Source organism: Homo sapiens, chromosome 15 (assembly GCF_000001405.40).
Source record: "Homo sapiens chromosome 15, GRCh38.p14 Primary Assembly".
NCBI lineage: Eukaryota > Metazoa > Chordata > Mammalia > Primates > Hominidae > Homo > Homo sapiens.
Genome location: NC_000015.10, coordinates 62,599,734 through 62,616,220, shown reverse-complemented (window position 1 = coordinate 62,616,220; position 16,487 = coordinate 62,599,734). Strand labels below are relative to the sequence as shown.

The 16,487-nt window shown below is 41.1% G+C and overlaps 1 protein-coding gene across 2 annotated transcripts in view; it reads right to left on the bottom strand.

Moving 5' to 3' along the window:
* TLN2 (talin 2) overlaps window positions 1–16,487 on the bottom strand; it is a 454,082-nt gene that overhangs the window by 228,411 nt on the left and 209,184 nt on the right. The window lies entirely within an intron of this gene.

Genomic DNA, 16,487 nt, shown 5'->3' with positions numbered 1-16,487 from the left:
TCTAAGTAAAAACAGTGCAAGACGAACTCACAAAGAGGTTTCACAAGAGAAAATGTGAAAAGGTAAAGTTAAGTCAGAAGATAAGCAATAAACTTTGAAAATATTTTTACAGAAAATGACAAAAGGTTACTATGTACCAAAGAGACACCATTTAGAGCTTAAAAGCTTATTAAGAAAATAAAACAAGTATCATGATACAAAACTGTTAGAGGACAGTAGTAAAAATTTCACAAAAGAACAAATACAAACGGCGAGGAAACAGATACAAAAAAAAATGTTATCCTCCAAATACAAATCCAAACAAGATATTCTCTATCATCTTAGCAGGAGTCTGAACACTCACCATGCTGGCAAGAAATATGGAGAAACCCACACACTCCCCTCCAGAGAGGCACCATATTTTTGGCAGTCAATATGGCAATATTATTCAAGGGTCATAAATATGATGAGACTCCTTTGATTGAAAATTTCATTTCTAGGAATTTACTGAAATAAATAAAGATAAACATGAGTGTTTATGTTCCAAGATATCCATCACTGCTTTGTTTGCAGGATACAAAATGATATAAACTACATACATACACACGTGCATATGAACATAAAAGACTAAAAGAAAATCTACCTAAATGTTAAGAGTACATTGTATTGTCTTTAAGATCTGGCTTTACAAATGGTTTCTAGTTTGCTGTGTTTTGATTTCCTACAAGATGCATATACAGTAGACTATCTTATAACCAAGCTCTGCTTAACCAATTTGCCAAATTAAAAGTCACTCCTGAGTGGGTGGGCTGCACCCACCATTACATGGTAGGCCTGCTAGAGTAGTGTGTTCTCAAACCCGTTCAGACCAGTTGTATTTATTGTACAATTGCATATTTAAATATGCTATGGGCCAAAGAAGTATGAGTGCAAAAAGAAAGAGTTGCTGTTCCTATGAAAACTCAATACAATGCTTTGTGTGCATTGCTAAAAAAGAAAATTACTGCCAAATTAGGTGAGGGCCAGACATCTGTCAATAGATTGAGAGAATTTTTTTAAGTATAAAGAAGCCTGTTCTCAGATGACTTTTCAAATATCTTTTAAATTCACATTTCTCTGTAAAGAACCCCAAACTAGGCCAGGCGTGGTGGCTCACACCTGCAATCCCAGCACTTTGGGAAGCCGAGGCAGGCGGATCCCCTGAGGTCAGGAGTTCGAGACCAACCTGGCCAACATGGTGAAACCCCATCTCTACTAAAAACACAAAAATTAGCCAGGCGTGGTGGTGAGCACCTATATTCCCAGCAACTCGGGAGGCTGAGGCTAGAGAATCGCTTGAACCTGGGAGGCGGGGGTTGCAGTGAGCCAAGATGGCACCACTGCACAGAGCGAAACTCCATCTCAAACTGAAAACTGTACACCCCACAGCACAGGAGTGAATTGGGACAGAAAGATGGTGGAGAAGTCATCAGAAACACATTCAGAGACATATGTTGAAGACATACATATTTTTTAGGTCAAAACGTAAATGCCTATGTTTTAGGTTAAAACTTTTTACAATTCTCAGTTTTAACTTTTCTCAATAAAAATTACAATTATTTTAGCACTAATTATAAGTCTATTCATGTCAAAAAAGGTGGCTTCCTTCGCAGTCCTTTTACAACGAAGAAGTGAATGTTCTTTCGAGCAGAGAGGTGGCGGGATAGAAAGAAGGAAAGGGAGGAAAGAGTGAGAAAACTATAATTTTTTTTAAAGGAGTAGAGGGCCATTTAGATATACAAGCAGCAAAATTGAAAGTTTACAAAAACTTTTAGGATAGTTGATGCTGTAATGACTAATTATAAAGTCAATGCAGTGATTACAAAATCCCTTACCTGCCACAGAGGATTTGATCAGAAGACAGAAAGTTTTTAATTCAAATTCTCTTGGACATATCGTTCTCCCAAAATCCTAATAAATCACTACAAGTTCCAAAAGAAAACAAAATAGCTAATAAATGATTCAGAAATGTTTATGGAAATCAGCTGATGAATTCTGTGCTACAGCAGCACAGCAAAACCTATTGGTTTTTTGTACAGTAAGCCTGATTTTTTAAAAGCACTCATTTTTGAGTCATAATTTATATACAATAAACTGTACATATTTATAGAACACAAATAAGTTTCAGAATCTGTATACACCTGTAATCCTGACAATCACGATGATGAACACAGCCATTAGCTTCAAAAGTTTTCCCAGGCCTCTTTGTAAATCAGGTCCCCCTCAACTCTTGCTTTCCACTCTCCTCTGTCAATCACTCATCTGTTTCCTGTCACTATCATTAGTTTGCATTTTTCCAGAATTTTATTTAAAAGGAACTCTATAGTATACACTCTTTTTTTTTTTTTTTGGCCTGGCTTCATTACTTAGCATAATTATTTTGAGATTGATCCCTCTTGTTGCATATGCTGAGAGATCATTTGTCTTTGTCTTTCATGCTTAGTCTTAGTCCCCTGAATGGACATAACATGATTTCTTGATCCTTCCACATGTGGATGGACATTTGTGTAGTTTGAGGTTATTACAAATAAAGCTTACGGTAAAGAGTGCATGTATCCAATGGCCTGCCTTTGACGTTCATGTGAAAGTCTTTGCAAGGATGTAGCTTATATATTTCTCTTGGGTAAATGTCAAGTAGAATCGCTGGGACACATGATAGGTGTATGATCAATTTTTGGAAGAAACTGCCGTACTGTTTCCCAAAGAGGTTGTACCATTTTCCATTCTCACCAGCAGTGTACATGAGTTCCATTTACTCCACACGAGCTCTATGTGTGTTTTGTAGGACACGGGATCCCCTGTCTATGCAACATATACTAAGTACAGGTTTGTCTACTTTCTAGGAACTGGACAGAAGTTGACCATTCTAAATAATTACAAAGGTGTATTTTTAATTTCTGCCCTCTCCCTGCAACACAGATTACAATAAAAGTGGCAAAACGGATCAAAAAGAACAAAATACATTTAATGAGTATTTACCATATGCCTGATTCTATGTATTCCATCCATCTTGCAAATACCCTACAACAAGCCCATAAGGGTAGATACTAAAATTGAACCATCAAATCCATTTCACAGGCAAGAAAACTGAGGACAAATAAATTACCCATGGTCACTGAGCTACTTAAGAAGCGGTAGGGTCAGGATTTGAACCCAGAAGTCTGAACACTGCCCTAGCTCTTAACTACTCCTGTATCCCCTGCTACCAGTTATACATTCCTAAATGCTGTTTGTTTTACAATACATAATCCTGTGAACTATCTCTGGCATTCCTTTCCAGTTCTACCACAAAGATAATGGATTACAAATCTTTAAGAAAGAGATTATTTCATAAAGCCTGGAAGATCTTTTTGCACTAAAGCATCAGAGCAAATGTTCATTTCATACATTTCTACGTAACATAAAATCATCAGAGCAATGACAGAATAGATGTTGATTAACGCAATCCAGCAGATCTCACCTATTAAGTGGAGAAGTCAGCCCTAAGAAGTGAGGGGACATTATTTCAAAGAACATGGCTTATTTTTAACAAATTGCTTTTCTGGTGACAACAAGAAAAAAAATCTCACGAACAAGCAGGCTCATTATCCACTGTATCTCAGACTGCTATGGTTTCACAAAATCCAATCCAGTTACTAAAAGCCCTTACCATAAAGACCCCCAGGGCTACAAGATAACCAGGTCAGCAATGTGTTGTGTTTTAAAACTTCTGGGAGCTTGTTGTCATAGTTCTGAAAGGGTAAAAACAGAGGGCAAATTTGCAGCCACCTCTTTGTCTACAGAAAGCCTAAGAGTACAATAGGGACCAAGGATAGCACCTGCATTAAGGAGAAAGCAACGAAAACAACATTTCCTAGAGGCAGCAGACTGTGACACTGACCATGGTATACAGAATATTGATTCGTAATCAAAAAAGAAGAAAGGATGGAAAAAATAATCGGCACCTCCCCAGCACTCTGACAAAAGGGAAGGAAACTGCTCTATTAGCAAGATGATATACAGGTAGAAGGATCGTAGAGTGAAGGACGATTGTTCAATGACAAATCAACATATATTTAATACTGGCTGCAAAGCACTGAACTAAGCTGAGGTGGGCAGGTAGATGCTGGGTCAGGGGGCGGTTTAGATACAAGCAAGAAGTAGGAAACAAGGTCTGTATCCCAATTTGAAGTCATCAAGTTGGGGAAAGGGATTGTACTTTACATAAAATCATGACACATACACTCTCATATAGTAATTATACACCACTGACATCTTTGCTAACACTATGTACAGCCACTTCCTAAGTACTTCCAAAATGGTGTTTCATTTAATCCTCACAAAAATCATGAGATAGCCATTATTCTTATCTCCATTTTACAGATCATTAAACTGACTGGGGGGAAAGGTTCTAGGACAGGCTCCTGACCATGTGGCTAGTCAGTGGTAGAGCTGGGAACCCAATGTGGCTCTGGTAACTCCAAAGCTGATGGTCTTAGCTACTAGGTTATAAAATCTCTCCGAAGGCTTGAGAAACTTGTGGGAGAATGATCCCTCTGGGTAGTGAGGGCCTGGAAGGCTTACTGCAGGAAGGAAGGATAGGAGATTCTAGGGCAACTGAAAAGAAAGAGGTACTACAGGAAAAGGAGAGGACTTCAGAGAGAGGCTGGGCAACCACTTGGTGGGATGTGGTCAAGTCCCCAAATGTTCACCAGTTACTTCATATGCCAAGCCCTGGGGACACAGTACTGAATAAATCAGACACAGTCCCTTGCCCTCTGGGGACTACTGTCTATCAAGGGAAACAGGCTACTTCAACAAGAGTGGATCTCCCAGCCAGGGACATACTCCTGACACTCTTACAACACCCAGCATCCATACCTGAGCCTAGAGAAAACAGCAGGTGCTTCTGTTTCCCAAATGGCATGGTACTGCCATAAACCAGTAGCATAAAGCCAGTTTTTTTCAATCATTGGGGCTCACCAGCTTAAACATTTTTTTCTTAATTTTGATGACACTTGCATTATTTTCAATTATGAGGATATAAAGAGGCTTTATAAATATGTTAATATCGCTCTATCTTAAGTTAGCACACTAGAACATAAATGTCATCATAAGACATAATCACATCCCTCTTGCTTCTTGCCCACGGCTCTTCCCTTACTGAGAAACTCAGGCTTAGAGCCATCAGGTGGGAAAATATCAGGCAGGTGCCAGGAAGGGATGCAGGAGGGGGTGCCATGGTGGCCCAGAAAAGGGAAAAATTAGAAGGAAGCCCATTGTGTTAAGCTGGAATCTGAAGTATTGGTGTGAATCACGGGTTTCAAGTTAGACACACCCGTGCGTGTGCCCTGCAGCAGTGTGCACATACAGAGATACACAGGTGATCCTCATTATTTGTAGAGCCTGTATTTGCAAATCCACATGTTAAAATTTACTTGTGACCCCAAAATCAATACTCCTGGCACGTTTGCAGTCCCTCATGGACGAGTGCAGAACAGCAAAACATTTGAGCTGCCAGGCTTGCATGTTCCCAGCTGAGGTCACCCAGCAACTCTCTGCTTTCTTGTTTCAGTCTCCTAAACGTCTCCGTTTCACAGTTTATTTAGTGCCAAGCTTTTTCCATCTTCTGCCTTTTGTTGATTGTGCTGTTTAAAATGGCCCCTAAACATAGTGCCGAGGTGCTGTCTAGCGTTCCTAAGCAGAAGGAGGCTGTGATGTATCTTACAGAGAAAATGCATGTGTTAAATAAGCTTAGTTCAGGCTGGTGGCCATGAATTCAATGTTAATGAATCAACAATATATATTAAGTAAGGTATCTTTAAATAGAAACACACATAAAACAAGGTTATGTACTGACTGGCTGACAAAAATTTTGTGACCAGAATCCTACAGGAACCCAAGCCTGTATTTCTCCTAGGAGCTATGTGCTAATTCAGTATTTGAAGATACTTTATAGAATATAACTACTGTAATAAAATAATTACTGTAAATAACAACAATCAATGGAATTCCTTAACTCTGTCCACTGAGGTAGTCTAGGATGAGCGACATCCAATAGCAAAGAGCATACTTAGTGCTCAGATCTTGACTTCTGATCATCTTTTTTGCAATAAAAGAAATCAGGGCTCTGTGGGAGAGCCCATGGCACCCCCTCCTAAGTCTGGAGCAGGGTAAGTACAAGATGAGTCTGGTAGGTCTTATTATACCAGAAAGTAAAGAATTGTTCAAAGAATGTTGGAGATGGATTGAAAGCACATAGTTTGAAAGGGTGCCTACTGGCTAAATCCAGAACAATTTGAATGTCAAAATAATGACAGTAACATTATAGCTTGATGAATAAAATATGAAACATGAGTCCACACTGGTATAAATAAATGAATAAATAAAATGAAATTTTCACGAGGGATGGGATAGCTACATAGTTTCAAAGGACCCTCCACAAAGAGAATAACCTTTCCAGAGGCAAAAGCTAGCCAAGACCACCTCAGTCAAACCTCCGTCAAGTGAGGAGCTGGGCACCATCGGTAACAGGACACATCTAGATTGGGCACCACATGATGCGGTGCAAAAAGAACATGGTATCCCTTCTGTGATATTCCCGCCAACGACGCATCAGCTGAATTCAAGAATGTGGAAAGACACAAACCTCAACTGAGGGATACTCTACAAAATAACTGGCCTTTCACCTTCAAGAGGGTCAAGGTTATGAAGGTCAAGGAAAGGCTTGTGAACTGTTCCAGCCTGAAGGAGACTAACGGCACAAGACAAGTTAAGGCAACACATGACTCTGAACTTGACCCTTTCATTATAAAGGACATGGCTGGGACATTTGGTAAAACCTGAACGGCATCTGAGAATTAGATGATAGCAATTTTGATGATTGCACTGTGGCTGTGTTCAAGAATATCCTTTTGTAGGAAATACCTGTTAACATAAAAGAAATGGTGGGTGATTGTGCATTAGGTCACCAACTTACAATCAAATGGTTCAGAAACCTTCTTTTGTGCTGTATTTTCAGCTTCTCTGTGAGTCTGTGATTGTTTCAAAACCTTTTAAAGTATTTTTTTAAGGCTGTGTAACATAGAACAGTCAGTGTGACAAGGGAGGAGGCCCAGGGGGAACGTTCATTTTTGTTTCTTCATCTATCCCTAACGTAACCCCACCACCACCACCATCACAAGCCCACAAACTCTCCAGGCTAGTGCCCGGCCTCTATGCTCCCTTGCACAGCCTCAATGCCTACGGGAATTCTCTACCCAAACAGACCTCCTATTACCCATCTTATCCCTCCTCTGACTTCTGTCCGGCCCCAGCACCACTCCACCCCTAATCCCACAGGCTCTCCTTCGTTTAGAAATAATCTCCTCAAGTTCTCTCCTAGTCCCCCACTCCTGCTGGTCCATCCCATGTACCCTCAGGACTTGCATTCACCAGTTCTGCACAGAAGCCAGATCTCTCCCTTGCACCCCTTATCCAAGTCTACCCCCGACCTCCCTAAGGTCTTTCACAAGCATAGCAAATTCCTCTTATTCAAAAATAAACTCATCACCTCTCCCTTGTCCCCGTGTCTTCCCAACCTGCTTCCCTCCTGTGTCGCTGATCTCAGTAACTTCACAATCCACCCACCTCCCAACACCAGAAACGGAGAGTCATCCTTGACACCAATGTTAACTCCTAAATCACTCTCAAACCTGTGCTTTCCTCCTACTCTACGACACTGCCATCCCATCATCTCCTGCTCAAATTCCTGCAACAGCTTCCCAGCTAGGATCCTCACATCTCTTCTTACGCTCTTCAGTGTACTCTCCACATCCCAGCCAGTGGACTTCTGAAAATTCAAATCTGACTACAGCTCACCACACTTAAATCCTATAATGGATGCCCACTATTCTTAGGGAGAAGTCTAACACCACCCCCACCCCTTATTAGATATTCCAAAATCCATTTATCAACCCTAACTCTCTGTCTTAAACCCTCTGCACCAACGATATAAACATATTTTCCTTTTCCAACAATGCTGCCAACATCCAGCAGACTGCCTGGCACTTTGTAGATGCTCAATAAATGTTTGTTGAATAAATGAATGTCAATTAGAGTCAATTAGATGCAGGGGTGGGGTGGGGGGATGGGGGTAGTAGACCAACTTAATATTTCACAAACTCAAATCTTCAGATACGCCAAAGTATTAAAGATACAACACATGTCCTTCGCAAAAGCCTAACAAAAATGTCAGAGAGAGTCTGCATAAAATAATTGGCAGCTCAAATTCAAGGTCCTTGAGGTTAGACATTAGCAAAGAAGGGAAACACTTGTTCACAGTCAAGCAGGCAGCAGTTACACCACAGCTGGCTGCTGCATGCCACAGCATGACTCAGTTCCACTAATGTGTGGGTGCACTCCCCATGGCATGTGGATGGTGAACTCAGAAAGAGAGGTGTATGTGCATACATACACATACATGGACTTGTGCACACACACACAAAAAAGAGCGGGGAAGTGGGGAAATCGGGCCTTTTCCACACAGGGGTCAAATAAACCCTAAGGAATGAAGACAAAATCACAGCTAAAAACCAAAAGGGCCCCTTCTACAGAAACTCACTTGGTACATGACAGTTTGAAAGGAGGGATCCTTTTGGACGTTTCGTTTATTATTCCTTATATTTTCTCTAAACTCCATTATGATACACCCATTCTGGAGGCTTTGCTAAAGAATAGCAGCCAATATGCTCCCAACTACTGTCATCCACTTTACTTCAGGTATTGCTGCAAATCAAAGGAGAGATGGAGTCAAGAAAGAACAATCCAAAGGCAACAGAATAAAGCTCTTTTAGCTTAAAACCATCAGGGAAATGGAATCAGTAATCTAATTAAGAAGGGAGGTGGTGCGGGTGGGCTAGCATCATCCTTTCAAGCCTCAGAGAGGCCTTGTTGTCAGGATGACAAATAGAAAGCTACCATGACTTCTGTGACCCAAGGCTGCTCTGATGCCTATTAAGCATGAAGAGAGATCTTTTCCCCAGAGGAAAGAGAAAGTCTAATAGGAAGCCAAGGGTGCTTGAAGGGCAGGAGCAAGCCCCACAAGCTCAAAAAGGAAGTAACATCCAAGGGACCCAGGATCACGGGCGAGAAAATTACTGCTGTGAAGAGGCATGAGTGGCCCAACCATATGGAAAACTCATCCGGAGATGAGGAAGGGGCGGAAGACTACAGGCAGCGGTGGTGGTGATGGTGAGGAGGAGGATGATGATGGTGGCAGCGGCGGAGGTGGTGATAGGGACCACACAACAACAGTGGCCCACCGTGGAGCACTTGCTCTGTGCCAAGCCTGCGCTGAGCATCACCTTACAACAAACACTGCGAGGAGGGTGCTATTCACTTCACTCCACACTACACGGCAGATGACACAGCTATAGAAAGACTGACACTACAATCTACACAGCTATTAAAGTGGTAGGAGTCAGGGCTTCAACCCAAGTCTGCCCAATTTCAAAATCAATGGCCTTCTATTTGAAGTATTGTTCCCAGTTACTTGTGAATGACTGTACTTATCCAGATGAAAAAAGGCAGTGTCTGGTGGTTAGGAAGTCAGCCAGCAATACTGGGGTGAAGGAATGCTGTATCGCTGACCTTATACTTGGGTTAGCACAATAAAAGCTTCAGTAATGGATGACCAGGACCATGTTCTGACTCATCATCCTCCATGGGGGAAATCAAATACTATTAGGCCTAGCTGGATTCTATCATCGCTAAACTTTTTTACTGTTAAACCACAGGCATTCCTTTCCTGGTATTATTTACAATAATTTCAACCTAAAAAAAATATCTTTTGGGGCCAGGCGTGGTGGTTCACGCCTGTAATCCCAGCGCTTTGGGAGGCTGAGGTGGGTGGATCGCCTGAGGTCAGGAATTCGAGACCAGCCTGACCAACAGGGGAAACCCTGTCTCTACTAAAAATACAAAAAAAAAAAAAAATTAGCCAAGCATGGTGGTGGGTGCCTATAGTCCCAGCTGCATGGGAGGCTGAGGCAGGAAAATTGCTTGAACCTGGGAGGCGGAGGTTGCAGTGAGCTGAGATTACACCACTGCACTCCAGCCTGGGCGACAGAGTGAGACTCCGTCTCAAAAAACAAAAAAAAAATCTTTTTGAAATGGTAAACACTGTCTTCTTATTAAGTTCTATCAGTCATCACTAGCACTATCGACTAACACTACTTAACTAGTGACACTGGTGTAACACTACTACCTCTAGACAAGTCTATCAAAATGTATCACATGAAATGTATCTAAAGAAGGGAAATTCTGACAGACTGCCCTTCTGCCCCTGATTGTGGTACCAGGCACATCTGAAGAGACATTTCGTGAAGATGGGAAGGGTAGTTCGCTTGCAGCTTGGGGAGGCTGCAGGTCTAAACATCATATATTGATTGCCCAGATCTCTTTGCTGCTACGGTGTCCAACGTGACTTAGATACACCAATGACATGGGCTTATAGGTGACTCTGGTGTTCAACCGAGTCACAAGGAAGAAAAGCAGAGCACACGGTTATCCACAAGAAGCAAGATCTCCCCATGGAGGAGGCGTGTGTTCTGAGCTGGCAGGTCAAGTACCGGATTCTCAATTCAACAGCCTCTCATAGCAGCAGCCACAGCCTAACTTCCCTGGTTCTGGTAGGAAAAGATGGTGCTGGGGATAGGGAGTAGACTGGAAGCTCAGCCCAGAGCCTGTTCCTCCCAAACTGCCAAGGATTCCTGATTCGCTTGCCCATGGATTAAATCGACTCCAGCTTTAATTCCCTAGAGTAGATTCTGTGTCCAATACAGGAAATGTGAATAACAACAAGAAGCTCATCGCTTTTACTAGTTTATTAAATTTGTAAAATGTTACGTATAAAATACTCAGACACAAAGGATAAGGAAACAAACTCAATTTATTTTAATTATATTTTAGTATAATAGCATTTAGGCTAGGATATTTCATATAAACTATAGTATTGCCCAATTTTATAAACTTAAACCTACACTGTAATTCACCTCATTCATAAACATGAGAAAATTTGACCTACTTTCTAATATATTCAGCTCCTTGTCTGCATTAATCTGCAGTGACATTTTAAAAGTTCCTCTAATAATTTCCATTATATGAAAATGCACTTTTCATTTACATCACCTTTGATTTTCTTCCCACAAACAAAATACTGTTTTTTCAACAGTTAGCCTGCAAATGTAGTAAGAAACAAGACATACAAGACAGCTGATACAAAAAGTTCACCTATGATGGGGCTCAGTCTTGGGTTTCTTAATGGGGGAAAGGAGGAGGAGGAGGAGGAGGCGGCGGCAGCGGCAAATAATGAGAAAATTTTGCCCTAGGTCCACACGCTACAGGATGGTAGGCTTGCGTCTGTGTATAATCTATGGAAAATCAGAGAACACAGCTTTGAGAGATTAATATAAATCCCTTATCGCATAATATGAGCTCCATGCTTCCTAATAGTTCCATAATCTCAAATAATTAAAAAAAAAAAAAAAAGAAGACGAAGAGAAGAAATCCACTTTCCACTCCCACGGCCTCCTTCCAACTACACACTGCAACCACCAACACCCTCCTGAACCTGGGCTCCCTCTCTCTTATGAAGCTCTCTTTAATATACTGTTGACAATCGCCCCCCACCCTTTTCTTTTTTTTTTTTTTTTTTTTTTAAGACAAGGTCTCACTTTGTCACCCAGGCTGGAGTGCAGTGACTCAATCATGGCTCACTGCACCATCAAATCTTCTACCTCAGTCTCCCAAGTGGCTGGGACGGGAGGTGCATGTCACTACCCACTACCCCCAGCTAATTTGTGTGTGGTATTTTTTGTTTGTTTTTGTTTTTAAGAAATGGGGTTTCACTTTGTTGCCTAGGATGGTCTCGAACTCCTAGGCTCAAGTAATCCTCCCACCTCAGCTTCCCACAGTGCTGAATTACAGTTGAGAGCCACCATGCCCCGCCTTGACAACCCTTTTGAGCAGCTCCCTCATATGTGCAAGAATTTTCTATGGCTCCCGAATGCCTAGAGCACAGGTTGACAAACTATGGCTCAAAAGCTAAGAATGGTTTTTATAATTTTAAAGGGTTAAGGAAAAAAACCAAATGAATTATATTTCATGATACATAGAAATTATATGACATTCAGATTTCAGTGTCCATAAATCAAGTTTCATTGGAACACAGCCACACCCATTTATGACTTGTCTATGCCTGCTTTCTGTGTGCCAACAGCAGAGTTGAATAGCTGCAACATAGGCAGTAGCCTCAAATATTTGTAGTTGAGTCCTTTGCCAGAAAAGATTGCTAACTTCTGGCCTACATTGCAAAATCCATAGCCTTTGGCCTAGCAATACAGGTCATCAAAATATCTAACAGACCTTCCTATAAACCTTATTTACTGCTACTTGAAGACATAACACAGATTCCACCGAAATGTCCTTCTCTATTTCTCCCAAACGTGACTCCCTTTTCCTTTCTTGCTCCAAAGCTCTGTTCAATCCCAGTAGTCTGTAGACATCCTGCTTTGTCTTTACAAAAGGAGTCACCTCGTATATACATTTAACTTCCATGAGGTTAAAAAAGAATAATGATTTTAAGAGTATCAAGGCTATTCTCCACAAAGCTATTTGTAATTGTAAAAGATGGAAACTACCCAAATGTCCATCAATTCAGCACAGGTTGAATAAGGGAGAACAAATCCACATAATGGAGGAAGAGGCAGATACACAAAGGAGTGAGGACTCTCTCTCTCTCTCTCTCTATGCCACTACAGAAGAAGAATTAGGGGAAATTAAATGAAAAAAGCAGAGCAGAGAAACGTGCATAGAGTATGCCTTGCTTAACTAAGAAGGGAAGGAGATACAAATACAAAAGTATGCACACATTTGCTTACACACATTTTAAAAAAAAACCACTACAACGATAAACCGTAATTTTTTCCATTGTTACCTATGGGGTAGGAGAAAACAGGATGGAGAGAGAACTGGGGTAAAACCAAACGCCTCGGCCGGGCGCGGTGGCTCACGCCTGTAATCCCAGCACTGTGGGAGGCCGAGGCAGGTGGATCATGAAGTCAGGAGATGGAGACCATCCTGGCTAACACGGTGAAACCCCATCTCTACTAAAAATGCAAAAAATTAGCCGGGCGTGGTGGCTGGCGCTTGTAGTCCCAGCTACTTGGGAGGCTGAGGCAGGAGAATGGCATGAACCTGGGAGGCAGAGTTTGCAGTGAGCCAAGATCGCGCCACTGCACTCCAGCCTGGGCAACAGAGCGAGACTCAGTCTCAAAAAATAAATAAATAAAAATAAAAATTTAAAAAAAAAAAAAAAGCAAACACCTCTAGCTATAGACTGAATGTTTCCCCAAAATTCATATGCTGAAACCTTATCCCCAATACTGTGATATTTGGAGGTGGGGCCTTTGGGAAGTGATTAGGTCATAAAGGCTCAGCTCTCATGGAATTAGTGCCATTATAAAAGAGGCCCCAGAGTTGCCTTTCCCTTTCTGCCATGTAAGGATACAACAAGGCGGCTGCATCTGTAAACCAGCAAGTGCACCCTCACCAGACACTGAATCGGCCTGTGCCCTGATCCTGGAATTCCCAGCCTCCAGAGCTATGAGAAATAAAATTTCTGTTGTTTATAGGCCACTCCGTTTATAGCAGCCCAAATGGACTAAGAGACTACAGAGTAAGATTTCATAGATGAGACTCTGGATCCCTGACAATACTGTACATAATTATTTAAAATTGAAATTGAAAAAAGGAACCTCTAAAAACATAAAATAAAAACCAATGAACTTAACTATGTATCCAATTGGTGGCGCAATCACAGAGAGAAGTCCTATTCAAAATATCTTTCGAATATACTGTTGTGTATGCAGCATGAGATAAAGCAGATGAAAAAATATGACGGTATCACTGAGAACTGGATTTTTGGCACAGATGAAAGAACAGAGTATATAATTGATGAAACTAAGTAAAAATCCTGCCCATCTGAATTTCACATGGAAGTATCAGTATGAACTAATAATCTACACACACATCCTAGTTCTGTCCACTGTAAGTATCCAGAAATAATGATAAATACAGTAGCAAGAAACATGCCTTGTTTCTATATTGTGCCTTCTAAATACTCAAGGAAACCAGGGCTCCTTGACGAACTGGCAGATCTCAGTCTGAGGCAAGAAATGGGTAAGACAATCCTGTAACATTTGATCTCACCAGAAAGTAAACAAAAATACAAAAAATTCATGAGTCATGTCTAAAGGACTCGGGAGCCAATTTAGATTCCACTGGCCAAATATGGGACAATCTGAGCATCAATAAGTATATTAAATTGAAACGCATCAATTAAATTACGCTAAAAAAAGAAATAAAGTCTCAGTGATCTCTTTTGGACGCTGCTGCCTTGAAAATAAAAGAACATATTTATCCCGACTTTCCAAGATAAATTTCAGTGTGAACAAATAAACGATGAGAGTATAAAGTTATGAAGTTCCTCTTTATATAAGTATTCTAGTATATAAACAAGGTAGGAATGATAGAATTAGAATACCACTATTTTGCAATCACTAATGAATTAAGAGATATAGGCAATGATCATCAATTGCCAGTAATGTAACAAAGAGTCTACAGTTACTATGTGTTTCTCAATGAAAATATGTAGCCTGCCTACGTGTATTCTTGCCAAAGAACAAACTAACAAAATAAAAAACATACCCCAAGAGATCTGAGTCTGACCAAACCTTGAGATTCAACTAAGAAATCATAGAAAATACAAGGAAGAGAGGAACATGTTAAATAGCACAATGGGAAACCGACCACCAAAATCCAGACTGTAGAACAAAAAACTACAGTGGGGTTTCTCAACCTTGGCACAATTGACATTTTGGGTCAGATATATTTTTGTTGTGGGGGTATCCCATGGGTTGTATCATGTTTAACAGCATCTGTGGCCTCTACCCACTCAATCTCAGTAGCATCCCCCAGTTGTGACAACCAAAAATGTCTCCAGATATTGCTAAACATCCCAAGACTGGAAAGGAAAATTATCCCTGTTTGAGAATCTCTGCTCTAAAAAATAAACAACCCAGCTTCATCAACAAATCACAAGGGTCAGAGAAGGTATGGAGAGATAGAGAAGAAGCCCAAAGACGAAAATATTAGAGACATATTAACTAACTGCAATGAATAAGTCTCATTTGGATCCTGATTTAAGGAAACGTAAAAAATAAGACAATTGAGAAAATTTGAACATTAGCTTGATATTAGATAATATTCAGAAAATATTAATAACGTTTACATTTTTGGCACAATAACATAATGTAGATAATTTTTAAGTTCTATCTATTTGACACATATACTGAAATAGTGACAGGAAATAATAAAGAGGTGCTTCAAAATAATGGGTGGGAAGAGGGAAGGGGACAGAAGAAAGACTGGCTCAGAATTAATCATCTTTGGACTTGGGTAATACGTGCACAGTTGTCCATAAAATTCTCTTCACTTTTGAATATGTTTGAAAGTTTCCTTTTTTAAAACTATGAATAAACAAATCTGGCAGGCGGTTCCATTCCCACTCCTCTCAGTGAGCATGTGAGACCACATGACCGTGGGAGGGAATATAGGAATTTATAGTGCCCTGGGCTTGTCAGTGCCTCTTGGGATCCTGTCTTGATGCTGAGAGTGAGTCCATTGTTGAAAACATGGTCCTTAAACACAGGGGCCAACTGCTTAGCAGCAGGCTACTCCAACACTGCAGGAAAAGTCCACTTGCTGGACTCACTGGGAGACAGAATACTGGCCTCTAATGTGGCACCTTCCTAAGGGGTATTCACGAACAATTTTGTCTATAAGGAATTTTTGCCTAATGTGCTGAATTTAGTTCATGCCAAGTAAGGTTTCACTGCACCGCACCAAAATTTTACTCATCCTGGAAAGAGCCCAAGTCGCTGCACAACCTCTGTGAGCTCTCCCATCAGTCCTGAACAGCCCTCTTCAAGACTTCATTCTAGGTGACAGAAAACTAAACTTCTGTCCTGTATAACCCACTGTTGTTTTCAGTCTTTTCAACTACAAGCAGCAAAAACTCACATCAACTCAGCGGGAAATCCCACCTCCTCTTGGAAAGCTGCTCTACCCGCTCTAGCAATATCCCCTCCTTCCTCTCAACTTTCTTTCTGCTCATTTGTCATCTACCAGAGACCCCTCGGCACTGCAGTGTTTTTGGAAACATGTAAACACAACAGAACAACGCCCAAGTCATTGTATCCTCCACGGTCAATTTTTATTTCCTTCCTAGTTTAGGGTATTGAATCCACCTCCTCTGAATCCAAACTTCTGACAAGAGTGGCCAACAGGGACAGCAAGCGCTCACTCCCACGTTCACACAGCTCACCCTCTGTGCCGGCAACAACCTCTCCAAAGGGAAGGCAAATGAACCAAGCATCCGGACCACCTGG